General features: G+C 43.6%; 1 long non-coding RNA gene across 1 annotated transcript in view, besides 2 other annotated features; it reads right to left on the bottom strand.

Annotated features, from left to right (window-relative positions):
• The window catches only part of LOC102723686 (uncharacterized), a 121,255-nt gene extending 107,579 nt beyond the window's left edge, over window positions 1-13,676 (bottom strand). The window contains exons 1-3 of the long non-coding RNA XR_007060599.1: window positions 13,459-13,676; window positions 6,866-6,952; window positions 3,085-3,226 (exon numbers count right to left, since the gene is read on the bottom strand). This is a non-coding gene — a long non-coding RNA (uncharacterized LOC102723686). The remainder of the gene's footprint in view (window positions 1-3,084; window positions 3,227-6,865; window positions 6,953-13,458) is intronic.
• Window positions 1,617-2,117: an enhancer, noted in NCBI's record as "H3K4me1 hESC enhancer chr7:152890387-152890887 (GRCh37/hg19 assembly coordinates)". NCBI's record gives its function as "activates a minimal SCP1, AML or CMV promoter by ChIP-STARR-seq in primed H9 embryonic stem cells {active_cell/tissue: H9 hESC(primed)}" and the evidence as "EXISTENCE:reporter gene assay evidence [ECO:0000049][PMID:30033119]".
• Window positions 3,329-4,528: an enhancer, noted in NCBI's record as "MED14-independent group 3 enhancer chr7:152887976-152889175 (GRCh37/hg19 assembly coordinates)". NCBI's record gives its function as "activates an origin of replication core promoter dependent on BRD2, BRD4, P300/CBP and CDK7 cofactors, and independent of MED14, by STARR-seq in HCT116 cells {active_cell/tissue: HCT116}" and the evidence as "EXISTENCE:reporter gene assay evidence [ECO:0000049][PMID:35650434]".
• Window positions 13,677-25,202: the final 11,526 nt, after the last annotated feature.

The following is a 25,202-nucleotide window of genomic DNA, read 5'->3' as shown; positions in this document are numbered from 1 at the left end:
GCCACGCTAGCAAGGACAAAACAAGACCTGAATCCAGCCTTTTAGGTCTACACCAGTGTTCTTTCCACTGTCCCATAATTTTTTTGGTAAACATTACTTATTTCCATTTTTGTCTCAATTGTACTTTAGAGTACACTATTTTTTTAACTTTCTATTTTGAAAAAAGATTCACAGGTCAAACGGTACAAAGTTGAGTTATATTCAATGAATAAGTCTAAACATCTAATGCACAGCATGAGGATGGTAGTTAATAATATTGTAGACTGAAAAGCTAAGAGAGTAGCTTTTAGGTGTTCTTACCACACAGAAACACAAATTAACTATGTGAAATAATAAATATGTTAATTGGCTTGAGGGTAATAATCATTTCACTATGTGTGTGTGTGTATATGTATATATATCAAAACATCACATTGTATGACTTGAATATATACAACTGAAGAAAAGATTCGTGGGCTGTTCCAAGAAACATATAGGGGAATCCTATGTACCCTTCGCCCAGTTTCCCCCAAGGGTAACATCTTGCCTAACTACCCTAGAATACCAAAACCAGGAAGCTGAAATTGATATAATCCACAGAGCTTATTCAGATTTCACCAGTTATGCATGCACTCATTCGTGTGTGTTCACATAACTCAATGACATTTTATGACATGTGTGGCTCCATGTGGCCACCACCACAATCAGGATTTCCAACATCATCACAATGCTTCCTCAGCTAGCCCTTTTATAGCCACACCTACTCCCTCCCCTTCATCCTTAACCCCTGACAACCACTAATTTGCTCTCTGTTTCTGTAATTATGTTTCTCAGTATTTGTAATTCATTTCAATATTCATAATTATATGACCAATGTCATATTTTAAATATCACGTAGCATATACTCTTTTGAGGTTGACATTTTTCACCCAGCATCATTCCCTGGAAATTAATCCAAGTTACTGCAGGGATCAATAGCTCACTCCCATTTATTGCTGAATAGTATTTCATGGTATGGTTGTGCCAGTTTGTTTAGCCATACATCCATTAAAGAACATTTGGTGGTTTTTAGCTGGGGGCTCTTGAAAATAAAGCGGCTATCAACATTCAAGTACAAGTTTCTCCATGAAAATAAGTTTTCATTTCTCTGAAATAAATGGCCAAGTATGCAACTGCTAGGTTGTATGGCAAGTCCATTTTATGAAGGTTTATGAAGAACTGCCAAACGATTTTCAGAGCAGCTGTACCAGCTTACATTCCTAGCAGCAATGTGCAAATGACCCAGTTTCTCTGCACCCTTGACCAGCATTTGGTGTTATCATTATTTTTCACTTTATCCTTTCTAACAGGTATGTGGTAACGTCTCACTGTGGTTTTTTGTTTTTTTTTTTTTGAGACGGAGTCTCACTGTGTTGCCCAGACTGGAGTGCAGTGGCGCAATCTTGGCTCACTGCAACCTTCACCTCCCAGGTTCAAGCGATTCTCCTGCCTCAGCCTCCTGAGTAGCTGAGGTTACAGGCACCCACCACCATGCCTGGCTAATTTTTGTATTTTTAGTAGAGTTGGGGTTTCGCCATGATGGCCAGGATGGTCTCGAACACCTGACCTCAGGTCATCCACTTGCCTTGGCCTCCCAAAGTGCTGGGATTACAGGCGTGAGCCACGGGGTCCAGCCTCATTGTGGTTTTAGTTTGCATTCCCTAATGATTAATGAAGTTGGATATCTTCTCCCGTCATGAAATATCAGTCTGTGTTTTGTCCATTTTCTAACAGAATGTTAATTTTTTGAGAGTGGAGAGTTTCCTATATACTCTAGATTCAAGTCCTTTGTAGAACACGTGATTACCCACAGACTTGGATGCTTGTCTGTAATACTTGGAGCTGGTAAGGGCTTTAAAAATGAAATTCCATCATGTTGTAGCTCATGGAATTAAATGTATCAGGAATGTAAACACTCACCGTGCACTTCATCAGGGAACCAGCAGAAAGCCAGGGCCTGGCTTTCACAGAAGCAAAATCTAGAGACAGACATTAGACCAAGGATATTCAAGCACAGAACTGTGAGGTGTGGATAGCACCTGCGAGGAGGGTGTGGCCTGAGGGAGACACTCCAGGGTGGGCTCCAGGGTTCCTCCTCACCCCGCCGCCCAGCCTCTTCGCCCGCGGGGCTCCTCGCCATCTCTGCGGCTCACGCGCCACCTTGTGGGCCCTGTGAGCTCAGCAGGACCCTGCGGAAAGCAGGCTCATGCTTGGAAAACACCTGGTGTGTCCTCACCCAAGCTCCTCTCCAGGAATGATCGACGCACCACACTGTCTACCCTTGGGACATTCATCTCCTACAACTGCTTCCAAGAGGAAAACTAGTTTGGATAGTAATCACTGGCTTATTCTTTGTGATTGATAAACCACCAGAAGGGTGGGAGATAGCTGAGAGGCCCCGAACGCAGGGGAATCCCGTAACTACACATACCCAGGCTTACGGGTCTCCTCCTGTGGCTGCATGATCGCCCTACAGAGCGCTTCTTCGCAGATGGCGCTCACCTGCCCAGCATGACATTCACCTTGAGGAAGGGGATCTCAAGGCAGCCTTTCTTTGACTACTAGGATAGAGGCTGCAATGGGTTTTTCTCCTGGTATTGCCACTGATGTGTGCTGTGTTGCAAAAGCATGCACCAGGAAAGGCCAGGCTCAACTCCTGTCTCATTTTAAACAATCAGAATGTAAGAACCAAGGGAAAGAGTGACTGCATTAACTTTTTTCTTTTGAATGAAAAATAAAGATTTGTATATGACACAGGCTTAACCAATAGCACAAACATTCAAAATGGCAGCTGTCATCATAATTAGATCATCTAGCCAAGGAGCTTTTCTTTAAATAGAAGCTTATATTGCAACCCAAACATGTAAGGAACATAAATGTGGTGGGAAGCAGGAGGGGAAGGGAGTATGAGCCCAGGGGCACCTAAGACCTCTCAATGGCAGATCCAGAAGCACTGAGAAACCCACTACCATGTTGTAAATGGGAAAAGGGATCCAGAAATAATGACCTCCCAAAAGACACATGACTAGTTAGGGCAGAACCAGGATTAGAATCCAAGTTACTTACCTGGTTCCTCACGAAACCTTCATCCTAAATATCTGATGTCTCAATACCTTGTTTCAATGGACTCTTCATGCCAGAGATCAAGGTTTTTTTTCTTTGTGGGGCATGAAACAGCATTGTCACTTTCTCCAAGTTTAGCTAAAAGCTGAAACCATAAAAGGAGGAATCATGCCATAAAGGAAAGTACCCACAAGTCTTTTTTCTTTTTTTTTTTTTTTAGAGAGAGTCTCTCTCTCTCTCGCCCAGGCTGGAGTGCAGTGATGCAATCTTGGTTCACTGCAACCTCTGCCACCCAGGTTCAAGCGATTATTCTGCCTCAGCCTCCTGAGTAGCTAGGATTACAGGCGCTTGCCACCGCACCTGGCTAATTTTTGTAGTTTTTTTAGCAGAGACGGGGTTTCACCATCTTGGCCAGGCTGGTCTTGAACTCTTGATGTCGTGATCTGCCTGCCTCAGCCTCCCAAAGTGCTGGGATTACAGGCATGAGCCACCGCACCTGGCCACCTACAGGTCTTTTTTTAAGGTCTCCAGAAACCCAGCCTGGGTTCTTACTGCCGCACCCTCCCAGACACAGAAAAGGAAACTTACAGGCATTCCTTCCCTTTGGTCTTTGCCTTCGGTGAATCTGTGGAGAAAAGCCTCTGCCACCTGACAACAGCCCCAAATTTTCCTATTCTTCTCCATCACTGGATCACTATGGAGACCTTGAAACAGCTGAGGACAAACTACAGCTCTGAGGGAAGGGCTCAGAGGGGCAATTCTGAGGGTGAAGGAGGGAATTCATCTACCCAGAGGGCAGAGGGAGGGATAAGGGGTTATGCAGAAGAGTGGCTTCAATGATGGGAAAGCACAGAAGTCCTGCCTCCCAGGATGGAGAACAGATGGTTAGAAAAGGGATGAACACTGCACAGTGGCAGGTGAGTTCCAGGCCTTTACCTTTTGCTGACAGCCAGGCCTCAGGCAGCAAGTCCTGTCTTGGGAGGAAATCAGATGTCTACCTTCTGGCCATTTGCCTGTGGCCCAGAGAATTAATATCAGACAATTTCATTTTAGCAGACTTTTGCAAACTCCACCAAATTGACAGATATGAATTTCTTTTCTTCAGGATTGCCCTTTCTAACCCAATCAAGGGAAGATGCTGAGTCATGGCAGAACCTGAATCGCAGCATTTGCAGAGAGGAGCACAGAGCAGTGGACCTGGACCATACACGAAGTGGACGCCAAGCCTAATCAGAAAGAGTTTGCTCTACTTTCACGACCTTGGGTCTTCAAGAAGTACATCTCCCTGTGTGAAGAGGGCTTTCAATCCCTTGTCATCACCAGAGTTTGGAACCAGTTATATTTCACCTGGCCCCAGAGGTACCTATGTTAATTAAGACAACAGCAGCTGCTAAGCAGCTCACCCATGAAACTTCAGTGGTCTAACTCATTAAAAGTTTCTCACCCAGGTAAAGTCCAAAAGGAATGTTGCCGGTCATTGAGTGACGTTGCTTGAAGTGATACTTTATAAATCAAGATTCCTTCCATTCTATGTCACTTTCAGTTACCACCCACAGTTTCAGAATTCACCTGGGAAGGTAAAAGAACACGAATAATTGCCCAGGGGATGCTTGGATGGGCCAGGCCCAGAAGTGGCGCATGGTAATTTCACTTGCATTCTATTGGCTAGAGAGCAGTCATAATGACCAGACCCAACTGCAAGGGATTCTGGGAGATGTAGTCCGACTGCCCAGGAAGAGGGAGCCAACACAAGGCAGTCTCAGAAGAAGTCACAGGGTCACTTTGGTATAATTTTCCCTAGTAAATTTTTCTGAGGCCACTATGGATATCCTGGACTTCTGTGCAGAAAAAATGTGTAAAAGTACTTCCATAATGCCTTTCCAGAACCTGCCAGTGATGTTATTTAAAATTAATTTGAGAGACCAGGGGAATATATCAGTAAACCATTTTAATTGTGTAGTACTTCAGAACTTTCAAAATGATTTCTCATTCTTTCATTTGATTTTCTTAGTGCTCTTCTCTCAGTGTCTATAAGCTTCAGTCGGGAAATATTAGCTGATTTCCCATTTTGCCAGGCTCTGGTCTGAGCGCTAGGGCTGTAGTGGTGAACAGAAAAAAGACCCCTGCACTCATTTTTCCTGTATCCAAGGAAAAGCAGCTTATATTTGCAAGTTTCAGGGGCTAAGAGTCCCGAAAAACAAAACTAGGATGAAATGACGGAGGATAAGGCCACATGGGGTAAAGTATGTGTTTAAATGTTCTTGGGATTTTGTTTTAATCAGTGTGGCAAGATGACAGACATGGAGACAACTGCCTTGAAAAAAGAGTTTATACTCACAGTTCCCTACAGGAGGGGGATACCATGCCCTGCAGTGCCACATGGGGAAGCACCAGGGTTGGCCAGGAGGCAGTGCAAGCAAGGAGAAAGCATGGGCAAGAGCCATTATTTTAGATTTCACAGGAAAGAATGAGGGGGGCAGACCGGGCAGGCAGTGCAAGTTTAGGATTGGATACTTTGGCTAATTTCAGTGGGCTTTTGACTATAGCAACAGTCCTGAGTTGTCTGGTACCTGGCCCTGGGATGATTTAGGGCAGGAGGAATATTGGCTTGGTGTGTGAGTGAGATAAAGGAAGGTGTTGAGGCGTGGGCTTTGGATTGGTTGGTTTGCATGTGAAAGGCATGCTTAACATGGTGAAACCCCATCACTACTAAAAACACAAAAATTAGCCAGGCATGGTGGCACATGCCTGTAATTCCAGCTACTTGGGAGTCTGAGGCGCGAGACTCACTTGAATCCAGGAGGTGGAGGTTGCAGTGAGCCGAGATCAAGATTGTGCCACTTGCAATCCAGCGTGGGCAACAGAGCAAGACTCCATCTGAAAGAAAGGAAAAGAAAAGAGAAAAGAGGAAAGGAAAGGAATGGAATGGAATGAAAAGGAAAGGAAAAGAAAAGAAAAAAAAAGAAAAGAAAAGAAAAGAAAAGAAAAGAAAAGAAAAGAAAAGAAAAGGAAAGGAAAGGAAAGACAAGAAAAGGGCATTCTTGCAGGCAAGTTGTTTCCTATCCCTAGGAGCCAGCCCTGGAGGGGCAGTTTCTCCAGGATGAGCAAAGCCCCAAGATGTCAAAACATCATAAAGCACAGAAAATAAAAACATGATTAATACAATGCAGCAGTGGGCACATAAATTTAGAATGGAGGGTCAGCAAAGGCTTTCCTGAAGAGTTGATATTGGAGATGAGATCAGAATTACATGAAGATGCCAGCCACACAAAGATCCAGAGGGAGAGCACATCAGGCAAAAGCACAAGGCAAGCACAAGCTTAGGCCAGTCCAAGAGGATGGAAAGGGCCAGCATGGCTGGAGTAGGGAGATAAGGTAGTAGAAGATGAGGCCAGATAGGCAGGACTCTGGAGGCCATGGCAGGACTTTGGATTTCATTAGGACTGCAATAGGAAGCTATTAAAGGGTATTGCACAGAGCAATGTCATCTGATTTGCATTTTTAAAAAGTCACTGACTGGTGAGGAGAACATATTGCATGCGGGCACCAGTGGGAAGCAGTGAGATGAGTCAACCGGGGGGTGCACTAAAGCATGACTTGAGAAGTAAGACATAGCTCCTTCTCCCGCTTTGTCTGCCTAACACTGACACTCTGGCATGCCTGTACTTTGTGTGACTTGGCTCAAATATGACCTTTGTTTGAAACAGATCATTCATTTATCACTTTTTTTTTCATAAATCTAAGTATTCCCATTCTCAAAGTGATCCTCCCACACTTTTCTTACCTGTCATGCACTATTGATGACAAGAAGGACCCCAGCTGAGAACTCTCTATGGATTGTCCAGTATGTGCCCTCAAGTGTTTGGTAACTCTGGGAAATATAAATAAAGTTTATTGGATAATGGTCCTAACCTGTAAAGAACTGAAAAATTCCACTGCAAACCCAAGAAAATATGCATAACTCAAGAGGAAGACAGATTATCCCTAAGATAGAGAGCTCCGTCCTAGATGACTCAGAGCAGGATTCACGAGGAGGTAAGACATAAGCTGATCTCTAAAGAGTTGGAATTGTACTTTTTGAATCTCAGAGCACTGCAGATAGGCAGAAGATCCCAGAGCCTATCACCCACACACACTGCAATCGAAAAAAATTTTTTCATAAAGAATTGAAAGGAGTATAACAGAAAAAAATGCTATTATAAACTGTCAAGTTCCAATTTGATGACTTGCTTATGATTTATTTCATAACAGAAAAATACAAAGGGGTATAACCCATTATAAATGTTAAAAATAATTCAGTGATTTTAAAAGACTTACCTTGATCATAAGGTGCAGGTTATTTAAATAGCACAAATTCACAGGCCCATCAAAGTTGAAGATATATCATACTCAAAAATTGCAGAATGGGGCATTCTATGTATCTATTATGCAATAGGAGAATGGCCAATTCCTATTTATACCATAGTATATACACATTTTAAATTTTAAATTTTGGAAAAGCTTAAGTCAAAAATTACTGTTGACTCAAATACAGATCAGTCACTCTATTTTGAAGAGGTAACCAATCAGTTGAAGCTAAACAAATTGTAATTTATAATCAAACAGCAGCAATTAAAGCCCATGACCAACTCAAGGAAACTCAAATGAGACACCAATAACATATCTGCTTGCAGATAAAGGATGTATCTGTGTGGGCACACACATAGACGCATGTGGTGACCTTAGCAAGACACAGTCTTCTTAGGTGATCATTGAATTACCATCCTGGAATGCTCTATTTATCTTGTGAACATGATTGGTAATTTTCCATAATACATTCTGTGAATTGTCAGTGGATAAGGCCTTTAATGTAAAAAGAAAAGTCTACAGAATTGCCTGTCATTTGCCTAAGAGAACCAATGGATCAATTTGCAACTTGTCAGGAGAAAAAAGTTTCCTGCCCCCAGATGCTAATTCTACTGATATAGTTGGGATATTTGTCCCCACCCAAATCTCATGTGGAACTGTAATCCCTAATACTGGAGGTGGGGCCTGGTGGGTGTTGTTTGGATCATGGCAGCAGATCCCTCATGGCTTGGTGCTGTGTTTGTGGTAGTGAATGAGTTCTTGTGAGATCTGGCCATTTAAAAGTGTATGGCACCCCTAAAACACACACACTCTGTCTCTCTCTTGCTCCTGCTTTCATGTGATATGTCTGCTCCCCCTTCACCTTCTGCCATGATTGTAAGCTTCCTGAGGCCTCCCCAGAAGCTGAACAAATGTTGGCACCAGGCTTCCTGAAAAGCCTGAACAACCATGAGACAATATAATCTCTTTTCTTTATAAATTTCCCAATCTTAGGTATATCTTTATAGAAATACAAGAACAGTCTAACACAGAAAAAATTGGTACCAGGAGTGAGGCATTGCTATAAAGATACCTGAAAATGTGGAAGCAGCTTTGGAAGTGGGTAATGGGCAGAGGTTGAAAGAGTTTGGAAGGCTCAGAAGAAGACAGGAAGATGAGGGAAAGTTTGGAACTTCTTATAGACTAGTTAGCTTGTTGTGACCAAAATGCTGATAGTGATATGGATAGCGAAGTCCAAGCTGAGGAGGTCTCAGATGGAAATGAGGAGTTTATTGAGAAATTGAGTGAATGTCACCCTTGTTATGCCTTATCAAAGAACTTGGCTGCATTCTGTTTATGTCCTAGGGATCTATTATAGATTCTCTTAGGCAAATGACAAGCAATTCTGTAGACTTTTCTTTTTACATTAAAGGCCTTATCCACTGACAATTCACAGAATGTATTATGGAAAATTACCAATCATGTTCACAAGATAAATAGAGCATTCCAGGATGGTAATTCCTAGGGATTAATGTCCTAGGGATCTGTGGAAGGTTGAATTTCAGAGTGATGGCTTAGGGTACCTGGCAGAAGAAATTTCTAAGCAGCAAAGTGTTCAAGAAGTGTTGTGGCTGCTTCTAAAAGCCTATGCTTAGGTGTAGAAGCAAAGGAATAAGTTAAAACACATTTAAAAGAAAAGCAGAGTGTAAAAAAGGTTGCAAAATTTGTGGCCTGGCTATGTAGGAGAGAAAGAAAAAGCTTTTTCAAGAGAGGAATTTAAGCAGGCTGTGTAACAATTACTTGCTAGAGATATTTGCATAACTAAAAGGGAGCCAAGTGCTACTATCCAACACAGTGGAGAAAAGCCCTCAAAGGCATTTCAGAGACTTTTAAGGCAGCCCTTCCCATCACAGGCCCAGAGGTCTAGGAGGGAATTGGTTTTGTAGGCTAGGCCCAGAGCCCCACTGCCCTGCACAATCTCAGGACACTGCCCCCAACATCCTGGCCACTGCAGCTCCAGCCATGGCTCAAAGGTATGCATATATAGCTCAGGCCACTGCTCCAGAGGGCACAAGCTATAAGCCTTGGTGGCTTCCATGTGGTATTAAGCATACAGACATGCAGAGTGCAAGAGTAAACGAGGCTTGGCAGCTTCCACCTAGATTTCAGAGGCTGTATGAGAAAGCCTGGGTACCCAGGAAGAAGCCTGCTGCAGGAGCAGAGCCCCCACGAAGAACCTCTATGAAGGCAGTGCAGAGGAGGAATGTAAGGTTGGAGGCCCCACAGAGAGACCCCACTGGGGCACTGCCTAGTGAAGCTATGAGAAGGGAGCCAGCATCCTCCAGACCCCAGAATTGGTAGAATCCACCAGCAACTTGCACTCTACACCTGGAAAAGCTGCAAGCACTCAACAACCTGAGAGCAGCCACAGGGGCCTTACCCTACAAAGCCACAGAGGCAAAGCTGCCCAGGGCATTGAGAGCCCACCCCTTGCACCAATGTGCCCTGGATGTAGGACATAAAGTCAAAGGAGATTATTTTAGAAGTTTAGGATTTAACAACTGCCCTGTTGGGTTTTGAACTTGCATGGGGCCTCTAGCCCCTTTCTTTTTGTTGATTTCTTCTTTTTGGGATGGGAATGTTTACACAATGCCTATACTTCCATTGCATCTTGGGAGTAAATAACTTGTTTTGATCTTACAGGTACACAGATGGAAGGAACTTATCTGTAGAGGAGACTTTGGGCTTGGGATTTGGAACTTTTTGAGTTAATGCTGGAATGAGTTAAGACTTTAGGGAACTGTTGGGTAAGCATAATTGTATTTTTCAATGTGAGAGGGACATGAGATTTGGCAGGAGCCAGAAGCAGAAGGATATAGTTTGGATATTTGTCCCTACCCAAATCTTATGTAGAATTTTAATCCCTAATGCTGGAGGTGGGGCCTAGTGAGAGATGTTTTGGTCATGGGGGTGGATCCCTCATGGCTTTTTGTTGTCTTCATGATAGTGAGTGAGTTCTTGTGAGACCTGATCATTTAAAAGTGTGTGGCACCTCCCCCCACCACCACTCCCTGCATTCTCTTTCTTGTTTGTTTTCACCATGTGATGTGCCTGCTCCCACTTCGCCTTCTGCCATGATTGTAAGCTTCCTGAGGCCCGCCACCGCCCCCCAGGAAGCTAAGCAGATGTTGGCACCATGCTCCTTGTAAAACCTGCAGAACTGTGAGCCAATTAAACCTCTCTTCTTTATAAATTACCCAGTCTCAGATATTTCTTTACAGCAATGCAAGAAGAGCCTAACACAACTACCAAGGATTAGAAGTTCTTTCTCAGAAGGGTCAAGGGAGAGCATTCTGGTTCTGACCTTGCTTCCTTTATCAATAATCCAAATCAGTCCTTGTGCCAGACCCCCTGCCAGGTTCAGAGTCATGACCAGTGTCCTCCTGCTCTGCTAACACAATTCTGAAGCCCTTGCTCTTGGACAAGCCACACCATTTGGCATCACTTGCTCTTCTTCAGCTGTCCTCCTCAAGGGCTAGAAATGTTTATTGGTTCAGAATAAAATATACGAAAGGTTCCCAAATAAACAAAACCTACAATTCAAATCATGAGACTGTCAGCTATGGAAAACACCAGAGTGCTTAGGGGGAATATACAGCTTAACAACAAAAGTAAGGAAATTGCTTTTGAGCAGCAGTAACCTCAAGCCAGCACACCAGTGAAGGAAAATTGCTTGTGTCTGAAACTGAAGGCAAGTGATATCTGTAAAGCTTCACTAACGAATGGCATCTTTTTACTTTTTATTACAGGTTTTGTTCTTTTCCTTTTTTTATTTTTTATTTTTTTGAGACAGAGTCTCGCTCTGTCGCCCAGGCTGGAGTGCAGTGGTGTGATCTAGGCTCACTGCAAGCTCCTCCTCCCGGGTTCACGCCTTTCTCCTCCCTCAGCCTCCCGAGTAGCTGGGACTACAGGTGTCTGCCACCTCGCCCAGCTACTTTTTTGTATATTTAGTAGAGATGGGGTTTCGCCATGTTAGCCAGGATGGTCTCGATCTCCTGACCTCATGATCCGCCTGCCTCGGCCTCCCAAAGTGATGGGATTACAGGTGTGAGCCACCGCGCCCGGCCTAGGTTTTGTTCTTTTCATTCATGCCTTGCCTTTCCTCTCCCAAAAGCCTTAAGGCAGCCTTCATACAGTAGCTGCATTCCTAAAAGCTCCCTATAAACCTAACTCCAATAGATACATTGATATATGTAAATGCACTGGGATGTCCCATGTGTAAAAGGTGCCTGAGGACAATCCTTCTGCCATGTGGGAGCCATCCTCCTGTCCCCTCTCTGCTCATGCCACTGCAGTTGCCATTGTACTCCACTCTCTCATGACCTGCTTCAAATCAGGCCCAGGATTTGTGTTTGATTAAGACCTGATATGGTTTCGCTATGTGTCCCCATCCAAATCTTATTTCAAGTTGTAATCCCCACAGGTTGAAGGAGGGACCTGGTGGGAGGTGATTGGATTATGGGGGCGGTTTCCTCAATTCTGTTCACGTGATAGTGAGTGAATTCTCATGAGATCTGATGGTTTAAAAGTGTGGCACTTCCCTTTCATTCTGTCTCTTGACATCTTGTGAAGGAGGTACTTGCTTCTCCTTTGCCTTCCACCATGATTGTAAATTCCTGAGGCCTCCCCAGCCATGCAAAACTGTAAGTCAATTAAACCTGTTTCCTTTGTAAATTACCCAGTCTCAGGCAGTTCTTGTTAGCAGTGTAAAAATGGACTAATGCAGGACCCTTAAATAAAGAAGGTAAACAAATTCCAAAGAAGTAGTGAAAACACCTTTGCAAAAATTGTAACTTGAGAAAAATATGACAGTCAAACAGATCTGATCTAACAACCCCTACTTTGCCTTTAACCTCCAAACTGCCCTTAATCATTCCTGGGCTTAGGCCAAACTAGCTTTGGGAGACATTTAGTTTATAGTTTAACTGATAATAGCCCTTCCCCAAAACTAAACCACCTTTATGAAGCTAATGAAAGACCACCAGGTTAGGAAGATGAGGAGGCTGAATTTTGCTAAGGTGTAGATATAAACAATTACCAGCCACTATTCTGGAGGTCACAAGATTTGCAACTCCCCCATGACTCCTGCAGATACTATCACTACTGCAGAACTAAGATTGGCTTTTTGAGTTGTCTGTCCAGGTATTTGCATTTCTGACCAGTGGCTCCACCCAGACCTGCCAAACCTCTGCTGACCAGTCCTTTGGCCACTTCCAGAAGTGGACTCCCTGGCCCACCAAACTATCTTTGAAAAACCATAGCCTCTGAATTTTCTGGGAGATTGATTTGAGTAATTCCTCCATCTCCCACATGGCCTGGCCAGCCTCATGTCTACTAAACTCTTTATTTTAATGCCATGGTCTCAGTGAATTGGTTTTGTCTGTGCAGTAGGCAGGAAGAACCCATCGGGTGGTTACAGTAGCCTCAGGAGGGCCCAGCAGCACAGAGGATCTTGACAAATATTTGTTGCCCTACAAGTCATTCTCTGCCTCCTCTTTTCTTGGAGACATCACAGAGCTATGTGTTTAGACTTTTGCCCAGTATCTGCATCCGCCCTGCATTTCCACACTGAGTGCAAACCAAAAAGAATTACTTTTAATTGAGAAACCATTATTTGCTAGGCACATTCATGGTCTGTTTACTTTCTTATTTTATCCCTCAAATAAGCTCATGATGCAGACACTATTTTATTTCCCATGGAAATACACACAAAGGCATTAGGGAACTAACTGAAAGTCTGCAGCTAGTGCCAAGGGACAGGACTCAACTCATGTCCATCTCTGCGTGGCAGATTCTATCTATGACAGTCCAGCTGCCTAATTGGCTCCAACCCACCATTGACCTTGTCCTTACCCCTCTCTGTCCTGAACTTGGCTTGCCTCCCTCATTCTGGCTCAGAGCCTTGACTGGTCCACCCCTTCCAGGATTCTCTCCCTAAACCTATAGCATGTTTTTGCCTTATTAAGAGAAAAATGTTGAACAAATTCATACCTAAATCTAAAGTTATCTTATGAAAGATGGGATATCTGGCCATGGTGTAGTTGTATTCCACACAGTGGGTGCTGGGAGCCTGGAGGACAGAGAAGGACAATCATTGCAGCAAGCAATGAGTGCCTTTTGATGGATTCCTCGATTCCTTGAGATGTAATGTGCTCCACGTCCACAGTAGTCTTCCTGAAAGCCCACAAATCTCATGGACAAGGATGTTCCTGGACAATATCTATGAGAGAGCCAAATTTCAACCCTTGAATATAGAGGTTTTATTTTCAGGAAATCTGTGAAAAGTCAGTGATGTAAGAAGCCCAGAGTAGCAGTACCAAGTTTCAGGACCACAGATAAAAACTACAGGGCTGATTTATAACACCTCTATCTCTTTAGATATGTGGTAAACCAGTAACGACAAATTGGATAAACTGGTCGCTATTTTATGCCTTCTCAATTACTCAGGACTAATTTTTAAATTGCATTTAAAAACTGACCTACTGACAGCATCAAGAAAATTCAGGAATTTGAGTCTTGTTGGCACTTGCATTACCAGAGTAACTATTTCATCTAAATGTTTTGCTTTACCAAACGTAGAGTCATACTTACAATATGTCCTCAGGATTCTTAGAGGTCTTCTAACCCAAATCCCTCATTTTTAGAGACTAGGAAATTAAATTTTAGACAACCCACCAAAGGAAGTAAAAATCACTGTTAGTTGTTATTTAGAATCATCATTCTTTGTCTTATGCTCTCCTGCACAGCCTCCTTTCTGACCCTGAGACCCAGGAGAAGAAGGAGGCAGGGAGATCATCTTACTGCTACATTTTCATGGAAGCCCCTCCTTGAACCTGTGAGTAGTGGTCTGTAAAGCACGTGTCATAATCTGCCTGGAAGGCTTACTACCTCTTCTATCTTCAAGGCAAAGAAAATGACATCTCACACCAAGCTAGCTGGAACTTTTGCCCCCATTTTCAAGGAAGAACAACACAAAAAGTTATATGTGTCATAAGGTTTAGTACATTCTGAATTTTTGTCAAGTATGAAAGGATAATTGAAAGTCCTGAAGTTTGCATTTTAAGAAGCTTTTGGGCCAGGTGTGGTGGCTCAGGCCTGTAATCCCAGCACTTTGGGAGGCCAAGGCGGGCGGATCATGAGGTCAGGAGTTTGAGACCAGCCCAGCCAACACGGTGAAATCCCAACTCTACTAAAGATACAAAAAATTAGCCGGGCATGGTGGCACATGCCTGTAATCGCAGCTACTCGGGAGGCTGAGGCAGGAGAATCACTTGAACCCAGTAGGTGGATGTTGCAGTGAGCTGAGATCACGCTACTGCACTGCAGCCTGGGTGACAGGGCGAGGCTGTATCTCAAAAAAGAAGCTTTTGGAATCAATACGCAGGAAGAATCAAACAATACTTCACTGCCAACACAGTGCAGCATACATATTACCAAAATTAAATTTGCACAATTAGTTGTTTAAACAACTAAACTTAGAAGAAATATTATATATTTTACTCTTTTTGTCTATAACCTCTGCTGTGCTACTTTAAACAAGAATATTTTGACTGGCCAATACCATACTTCCTAAGTTTTACTCTTGTTTGTTTGGATCACAAGAGGGGTGATTTCTCAATTTCTAAAAGAAGCAGCTCTTGTTTGTTATTTTTAAAAACACAGCCAGAACCAGGCACGTGGCTCACATCTGTAATCCCAACATTTTGGGTGGCTGAAGTGGGAGGATCTCTTGAGCCCAGGAGTTCAAGATCAATCTGGGCAACACAGTGAGACCCTGTCTCTACAAAACAAACAAACAAAAAATTTTAATTAGACAAGTATGGTTGTGCATGCCTGTGGTCCCACCTATTCAAGAGACTAAGGTGGGAGGATCTGTTGAGCCCAGGAGTTCAAAGCTGCAGTGAGCTGTGATTGTCCCACTGCACTCCAGCCTGGGTGACAGAAAGAGACCCTGTCCCAGACAAACAAAGAGAAAAATAGCCAGGTGCTCACCTCCTTGGAGGAGATTTTCATGAACCCCTCAGTGTTGTGCTGTTTTAGAGCTCATAATGTTGTATTTTAACTGTGAATGAGCATCTCTTCTCCACTTATCCTTGGATGTTCTTACAGCCAGGGGCCATTCTCACATCTTTTAGTATCTCCAGTGCCTACCACAGTGTCTCGTACTTATTAGATGCTCAAACCTCTGTCGAATGCATGGAAGCCTCTGTTGAATGCATGTCCTGCCCCCAATGCCAGAATGCACAGCTTATCATTAAGGATATGAAAAAAAAATGAGTGAAAATAAACCTCTAGGGATTTACAAAATGATTTATTTCCTGGGTCTTCTGTTTAGAAAATTAATTTACTTGTTCAGACTCACAAACTGACATAAATGTTCTATGGAGCCGTTCACTAAAGGGTGCTCATGCAGCTACTACCATGCAATGGAATTGCCTGAGTTTACTAAGGGACAGTTTCTAATATAACACTTTTACAATGCTGAAAATCCTTCAGTAACAAATATTTTAAAACTCTGCTAAATTAATCCATGTTTGAATGACATCAGACTTCAGCAGACCAATGCCTTCTATATAGTTACTACCCATTGTTAAGTCATTTCATTTATATTTTAGAAAAGAAGTACCCCCTTTAAGAGATCAGTTTTACTTAAAGTGACTAAGACTCTCAAAAGGATGATTCTTAATCACATAATCTTTCTTAGAGAAAACAAAAATTCATCTTATACTCCCCCTGCACAGCCTCCTTCCTAACTCTGAGACCCAGGGGACAAGGGAAGCAAGGAAGATCATCTCTTACCATTACATTTTCCATGGAAGCCTCCCCTTGAATCTGTGAGTGGTGGTCTGTAAAGCAGGTGTCATAATCTGCCCGGTGGGCTTACTACCGAGTGTCCCTCCCCCAGCTCTGTTGTGTTAAGATTTGACCTAGATGTTCAAGGTCTTGAGGTTGTACTTATCTTTTTGAGCAGCAGGAGAATGGTTAAACAATGGGCTTCTTCATTAGTACCCTTTCCTGAACGTAAACTATGTATGGCTACAATTCTTATCCTGGGAGCAGCCCATATGGAGGCCCCAAGAGCACTAAGACTACACTATGGCAGATGCTTTGATACAAATATTTATTTTCTTATTCCAAAGCCTGATTCTCTAACCTAAACAATATCTTTATTATTTTTCTCTGTATTTGTAATCCATATTATTAGAACAACGAAGCCATCAGTGTTCATGTATAGGTTAAAATGTCCTTAGATTGCCACAGGCATAAAGGGAATGGAACCATGTATTAGTCCGTTTTCATGCTGCTGATAAAGACATACTGGAGACTGGGTAATTTGGGTGGAGACACAGCCAAACCATATCAAACCAGTTTACATGTTCAAGTACAGACACTTCAGTATTGACTTAACCAAAGGCCAGAGAGGTCTGTGAACCTTGTAGCTGGCTACCACTGATTCTGAGAATCACAGATGCAGAGCCCTCCCCACCGATACCTTGTCACCACGTGCCTTTAGAACTTAGATGCTACCCTAGGGAAATGGGGAAGGAAGAACCCCAGATTCATATGAAATTTCTTTTTTTTTTTTTTTTGAGATGGAGTCTCGCTTTGTCGCCCAGGCTGGAGTGCAGTGGCACAATCTCAGCTCACTGCAACCTCCACTGCCCGGGTTCTAGTGATTCTCCTGCCTCGGCCTCCCGAGTAGCTGGGGTTATAGGCACCGGCCACTACACCCAGCTAATTTTTGTATTTTTAGTAAAGACAGGGTTTCACCATGTTACCCAGGCTGGTCTCAAACTCCTGACCTCAAGTGACCTGCCTGCCCTGGCCTCCCAAAGTGCTGGGATTACAGGCATGAGCCACCGTGCCCCACCCCCAATATGAAATTTCTATCACCCCAACAGATAGAAATGGTGCTTCAAATTAGATGTTAAATTTTGGAAATATAAGTTGCATTTTCTAGACACCTAATTTGTGAATAGAAATTTGAATCCAATACATGAGATTTATCTAGAATCTCTAGAAATCCTAATACAGTCATAAATTGTTTAAAGCCCTACAAATAGAACCAAGGCAACTGGAGGCAGTGACTATGACCCCCGGAAGGAATAGTGAGTTAGACCCTCAGGCATCATGGACGACTTGCAAAATCATGAACTGTAACGAAGCTGCAATTGAACAAATATGACAAAATGTTTTAAATATCCTGGGTGGATGCAGATTGAGCATTAGAAAAAGAGGAAAGGAGGCCGGGCACGGTGGCTCATGCCTGTAATGCTAGCACTTTGGGAGGCCAAAGCGGGTGGATCATGAGGTCAGGAGATTGAGACCGTCCTGGCTGACACAGTGAAACTCCATCTCTACTAAAAATACAAAAAATTAGCCGGGTGTGGTGGCGGTCGCCTGTAGTTCCTGCTACTCAGGAGGCTGAGGCAGGAGAATCGCGAATCGCTTGAATCCAGGAGGCAGAGCTTGCAGTGAGCTGAGATCACGCTCCCGCACTCCAGCCTGGGCAACAGAGCGAGACTCGCTTCAAAAAAAAAAAGAAGAAGAAGAAGAAGAAGAAAGAATGTAGCCTTGCTGAAGCTTCCTGATAGATTAAATTCTTTGAGTACCAGAAGAACACTTCAAAAAAGAAAAGTGTATAAAACGAGATATACAACTTCTACCCTGGTCTCAGACCTCCTCCAAGTACTGCAAAGTCAAGAGTAACTCCTGCACCACCAGCTCCAGCCACTAAGGCACTGAAATCCCAACTTCCAGCAAATGATACACCCATTCAACTGCCATTTATATTTAAGGCCTGGGAACACACAAAGAGGTTGTGCTTGGAGAAGGCTGCACGCCCTCCCAGTCAGAAAGCACTGCCCAACTGCAGAGGGAGAAGGTTTCTGGGAGAGCTCCTGAGGCCCTATAGTTGTGTTGTGATTGTGGTTGTTCTGCTTTACCTGTAAGAAAAGCAAACATCAAGGTATTTGTGCACACAGCTGCTAGTGGAAGCTAGGGTGCCCTTCTTGGGAGTTGGGATGTCTCAGAAAGCCAGTGGGAGCCAAGGAAAGTATCCATTGGTCCTGGGAGAGGCTGGTCTCTCTCCCCCTCACTTCAAGGCAGTCAAGACATAGAGACTGGACGTGAATCTGAATGAGAGGCCACGGCTGGAGAGTCACATTGGGGAACCAGCTCACATTACCTAATGCCTGTAAATAAGAAAGAGTGTCTCATCCCTCAGGTATATGTACAGATTGCAGGCTTATGTCAGCCCAAAGCAAGCTCTGCTTCCATCCTTTCCCATGGCTGTGTGGGTGATAAGCACCTCGAAGAATGCAGTCTGGGAGTCAGAAGCAGGTCCCATCCTGGTAGGTTTAGGGGAGGATGGAAAGTAAATTTTCTTTGAAGGCATGTAATAACTTATAAGGGCTAAACAGTATTTTTTAATATTTCCCCCATTTTGTAGCATTACTTGGGCCTTCTCCAATTGTCAGATAGGCCATTTTGCATTCATTACCACTGAAGCAAAGACTAACAGAAGGGAAAAAAGGCAAAGACAACCAAGTCTTATATTTTAAATGGCATAAGCCAGGGACTCACAGGAACTAAAAAGACTTCTGCAAAGAAAATTGATCTGGCAGAAAAATACGGATTAAGTGAAAAGTTTCCTGTCCCTGACACGTGTCTGGGAGAGAAGGACAGTCTGGGGAGGGAACAAGAGCTTAGGTTTGGCAGAGCTCAGATCCTTGGGTTTGGGGAAATGCGGGACACAAAATGGAAACTCAGAACGGACAGGAGAGTCCGCACCTGGGAGGAACCTGCTCCCCTTGCCTCAGTGAATCACAGGAGGCAGCAAGCAGCAGAGCTCCTGGGCAGTGCTCTCACGTGTAACTGGGTAGATGGAACCACGGAATCCAGAGCCTGTGTGATGGCTAATTTCATGTATCAACTTGGCCAGGCTATGGTGTCCAGTTGCTTGGCCAAACACTGTTCTACATGTTGTGACGATATTTTGTAGATGTGATTAAAATGCACAGTCAATTGACTTTAAGTAGAGAAAATGACCTTCCATTCTATGAGTGGGCCTCATCCAACCAGCTGAAGGCCTTAAGAGCAAAAACTGAAAATTCCTGGAAACGAAGAAATTCTGCCTGAAGACTGCAACATAGAAGTCCTGCCTGGTTTCCAGCCTGCCAGTTTTCCCTGTGGAGTTCTGACTCAAGACCGCAGCATCTGCTCTTGCTGGAGTTTCCAGTCTGCTGGGCTGCCCTACGGAGGGCAGACTTGCCATCCCTGCAATTGCAGGAACCTACTGCTTAATTGCTCAGGAATAATACATTTTTACATTTATCTATGCCAATATTTTAGAACAAAGCAATTATTTTAAATCCACGGCCCCACACACACATACACACACACACACACACACACACACACACACACAGAGGGTTACATAGCACATAAAGACATTTCTGTCCATGATGAACCATGTATACAAGAGTGGTACCATAAGATTATAATGAAGCTGAAAAATTCCTGTCACCTAGTGATGCCATAATCATTATAAAGTCATAACCCCAGCTCATTACTCACATGTCTGTGGTGATGCAGGTGTAAACAAACCCTACTGCACTGCCAATTACATAAAAGTACCTCTAGCACATAGAATTATGCAGTACCTAGTACTTGATAGTTACAATAAATATGTTGCTGGTTTATATATTTACTGTACTTTTATCACTATTTTAGAGTGTACTCCTACTTACAAAAAAAAAAAAATGTAACTGGAAAACAGGCTCGGCAGGTCCTTCAGGAGGGATCCCAGAAAAAGCACTGGTGTCATAGGAGAGGACAGCCCCATGCATGTTATTGTCCCTGAAGACCTTCCCATGGGACAAGATAAAGGGGCGGAAAACAGTGACATTGATGATCCTAACCATGTGTAGGCCCAGGTTATGTGTGCATTTTTGTCTTCATTTTTAACAACAACAAAAAAAGTTTAAAAAGTTAAAAAAAAAAAGATAAAATTTTAAAAATAGAAGCTTATGGAATAAGGGTATAAAGAAAACACTTTTGTACGGCTGTACAATGTATTGTAAGCTACGTGATATTATTACAAGAGAGTTAAAAAGTTACAGTAAGCTACGATTAATTTATAATATTTTTCTATACATTTAGTGTAGCCTGGCTGGGTGCAATGGCTCACGCCTGTAATACCAGCACTTTGGGAGGCCAAGGTGGGTGGATCACAAGGTCAGTAGTTCAAGACTAGCCTGGCCAATATGGTGAAACCCCATCTCTACTAAAAATAAAAAATAAAAAAAATTAGCCAGGTGTGGTGGTGGGCACGTGTAATCCAAGCTACTCAGGAGGCTGAGGCAGAAGAATCACTTGAACCCGGGAGGCGGAGGTTGCTGTGAGCTGAGACTGTGCCATTACACTCTAGCTGTGTCTCAAAAAAAGAAATGTAGTGTAGCCTAAGTGTACAGTATTTATAAAGTCTACAGTGGTTTACAGTAATGTCTAGGCCTTCACATCCACTCAGCACTCATTCACTGACTCACCTAGAGCAACTTCCAGCCCTGCAAGCTCCACTTGTGGTAAATGCCCTATAAAAGTGTACCATTTTTATCTTTTATACTATGTTTTTACTGTACCTTCACTATGGAAGTATATGCTTAGATACACAAATACTTACCATTGTGTTACCATGACCTTACTTACTAGCACATTCCTCAGAACGTACCCCTGGCATTAAGCAATACATGACTGTATATCTAAAGTGTAAAACTAATTAAGCTTTATTTCGTATTAGTCCATTCTCACATAGCTATAAAGAAATACTGAGACTGGGTAGTTTATAAAGAAAGACGTTTAATTGGCTCACGGTTCTGCAGGCCGTTCAGGAAACACAGTGGCTTCTGTTTCTGAGGAGGCCTCAGGAAACTTACAGTCATGGTGGAAGGTGAAAGAGAAGCAGGGATGTCTTAAATGGCCAGAGCAGGAAGAAGAGAGAGAGAGGGAGGTGCCACACACTTTCAAACAACAAGATTTCATGAGAGCCCTATCACAAGACAGCACCAAAAGGATGGTGCTAAACCATTCATGAAGGATCCACCCCATCATCCAATCACCTCCCACCAGGCCTCACCTCCAATACTGGGGATTACAATTCAACATAAGCTTTTGGTGGGGACACAGATTCAAACCATATCAATGTCAATAAACATCATATTGGTTATATTTCACTGGAGAACCCTGACTTCTGATGCATCCCTCGTGGTGCAGGAAATGTAGACCAATACTCAACCCTGAGAGATTAGCACAGAAATGATGAGAAACCTTAAAAACCCCATAGAATTGGATGTGTTGAGAACAACATAATTTCCCCATGTTCTAGAGAGGGTCAGAGGCAGCAGAAGACTCTGGCTTGGGAAAGACATTGAGAGAGGCAGTGAGGACTGATCCTCAGCAATGTGCCTAGAGTGATGACAGGGAAGAGCAACCCTAGTCAATGCTTGCCCCCAGAAATTGGTAGTAATCTTGAGGAAAGGAAGAAAGGGAAACCAAAAATTATTGAGACTGGTAGAATGAGGGCCTGAATACAAATTAAGTTCAGATATTTTTAAAATTTGTGATCTGAGATTCACATTTACTGTAAAAGTCTATAATTTAATTATACTTCACAATGTAAGTAAAACCTAATTCCCTATACACAAATGTATTTGTTGCCAATGATAGCAACAAGCACTAATTTTACACATGTCCTTAATATTGATATGTAAATGACCTCAATCACAAATCCCTCAAAAGAAAAAAAAGAATCCCTGCCCACCAATATCTTTGCTCCCCATCCAGGCATTGTCATATTTGTTACCTTAATTCTGGCTTCTCATTCTCTAGGCAGTTTGGCCTGGATTCTTGACATTTCATCGTTCAGTCTTTTAGTTGATGTTGCTATTTGGTATCCTACACTCTGAAACCAGTGTTCCCTGATCGACCGTGCCTGATTTATTGCCCTGCCTTGGCTGAAACTCTTTTGATGTGGTTTGGCTGTGTCCCCACCCAAAATCTCATCCTGAATTGTAATCTCCATAATCCCCATAATCCCCATGCATCAAGAGCAGGCCCAGGTGGAGGTAACTGGATCATGGTGGCAGTTTCGCCCATGCTGTTCTCATGATAGTGAGTTCTCATGAGATATGATGGTTTTATAAGGGGCTCTTCCCCCTTCACTCAGCACTCCTCCTTCCTGCCACCTTGTGAAGAAGGTGCCCTGATTCCCCTTCGCCTTCTGCCATGATTGTAAGTTTCCTGAGGCCTCCCCAGCCATGCTGAACTGTGAGTCAATTAAGCCTCTTTTCTTTAAAAATTACCCAGTCTCAGGCAGTTCTTTATAGCAGTATGAACATAGACTGATATGTCCTTGAACTTTATTTTTGGACAATTGGACTTATAGCCTCTACCAGCCCAAACTCATGCCCATCCCTCAACCCAGCCCAGATCCCTGCCACAAGATGATCTGTAGGACTCAGACAAAGAAGAACTCTATGAAGCCACCAGCCTCACCCCAGCCCCCCAAAAATAGACATATAAAGAGGACAAGGCAAAAAGACCCTAAAGAATAGAAGGTAAAACTGTGAAGCATGAGATAGTTCCACATTTCACACCAAACTAGATGAACATATCATGGTTGCCAAGGCACAAACACATATTTATTCAGAGCTGGCAACATAAGTAATTTTCAGTTTCAAAGCAATGAAAAGAGTTGATATGAATAATACATTTTTATCTATGCCAATATTTTAAAACAAAGCAGCAATATCTTAAAACAAAGTAGCAATATCTTATTTGTGCAAATCTATCTGTTTTACATTATGTTCTAGTATGAGTGTTTTAGTAGAAATTCCATTTGAAGTGTGAAATTGTTTATGCTACTGATACAAATTCAAAACAATCCACCATCTCCAGATTTACCATTGTAATGGATTTTTAAACATGTTTATTATTATGGAATTACTGCGGAAAAGAGAGCCCGCAGATGTAGTACAAGTGTGGTTCTCTTCACATTCCCCAAAGATATTTCTCTTTCAGAGATTCAAAATCCGTGAACAGTAGAGACACCCTAAGGAGATATATGTTCAGCCATAGTAAAGAGGGAACTGTAGCTGAAAGCTAAAATGTAGGAAATGTAGACCAATATCTTTGCTTCACCTCTGCTGGCTTCAAAAGTTTCCAGAATAACAATTCAAATGAAAAGGAAATATATTGGTAGCTTGAACACAAGAAAAATAATTTAGACTCCTAAGCTGTTGATTCCAGTGGTATTTCCAAATCACTACCAGCATTGTAAAACATTAAATGTTGCAAGTCATGTCATGTCTAGATGTCGTAGTGAGACCTATTCTGGCCAGTTGCTGGAGCTCGCCATCTTGCCATAATGGTGAAGTTTTATACGTCCAGTGGTCCAGAGTGCATCAACATATCCTTTCACAGAACAGGGAGGCTGGGCTCTTTTATGTGCCTGAAAGATACTGCAGCCATGGTATGGAGTAACAGCCAGACTACGCCTCATACAACTGCCTGCCCCAGCAGCTCCCTGCTAAACAGGACCTGCCTTCTTCTGCATCAGGTCCACAATGCAGCCGCCATGCCCTCTAATATGCATTTTAGCTGCAGCCGAGGTTCCTCTGAGAACCCAACCCGCAGGGGCTGGTGACCCCCTCTTTGACTCCCACAGCAGTGGCTGCTGCCACCACTGCCGCTGCCACCACTGCCGCTGCGGCCCCTGACACTCCAGGACAGGGAGGGGGTGAAGAAACCGGGCACCTTAACATGCCCCTAACAGCAAAATCCGGTGCTGCTCCAGTAGGAGGGAAGTGTCAGCAAGCCACATGCCCCAAGCTCCCATCCTCCATTGCTCCAGCTGAAGGGGCCTGCCTTCTCCAGTGAAAAGCCCGCAGCTCAGCTACGCTGCTCCCCACGCAGCCATTCCAGCTGCCGCTCAGAGCCCTTTTGAGATCCCAGCCCCACAGGCCTATGATCTGCCTTGGGGCTCCCATTGCCTGAGCATCAGCCACTGCCTGTGCATTCTGCCTGCCCCTGCCTGAGAGTTTTGCTGATGACCTCCAGACCAGCCCACCCCCTAACGACCAGCACCTGAATTCTGGGGACCTGAGAATAAGCCCACTGGCCCAGTCTCGGTCCCAGTTCAGTCCCTCAGGACTCATACATACCATCCAGTGGGCCATCTAGGGGCCTGGGGGTTGGGGGTTTACCTAGCCCCATCTACTAATGTGGGCATCTGACCACTCCCCACCAGGGTCTGAGTTCAGACCAACCCCATCAGCCAACACCACCACAGCTGACACTCATTTGAACATGCTGAAAAGTGGAGCCCCTCCCCATCTCTACACAAAGCAGCAGCATTACACATTGGAGAACAGGCAGGCCACAAAGCCACAAAGCTGTCTATAGCAGGCTGAGTGAGGAGCTTCCACCCCGAAACGACTCCTACAAAGAACCACAAGACAGACATCTTTCATGGCTGTCAGCTACACTGTGGCCTAGAGAAAGACAAGAGTGCAGGTCTGAACTGAGAGTCGTGAGCCCCAGGACAGAATGTGACAGGGCAACAGATCTCATTCCTGCCTATCTAGGACATGGAGCCAGTGCGTCCCTCCTCACCCCTTGCAGAGACCTTTGTGTGTTCCACTGGAGCTCCCCCAAACACTCCCATCAGAGCTGGT

This window comes from Homo sapiens, chromosome 7, assembly GCF_000001405.40.
Source record: "Homo sapiens chromosome 7, GRCh38.p14 Primary Assembly".
NCBI lineage: Eukaryota > Metazoa > Chordata > Mammalia > Primates > Hominidae > Homo > Homo sapiens.
This window is presented reverse-complemented; position numbering and strand designations above follow the sequence as displayed.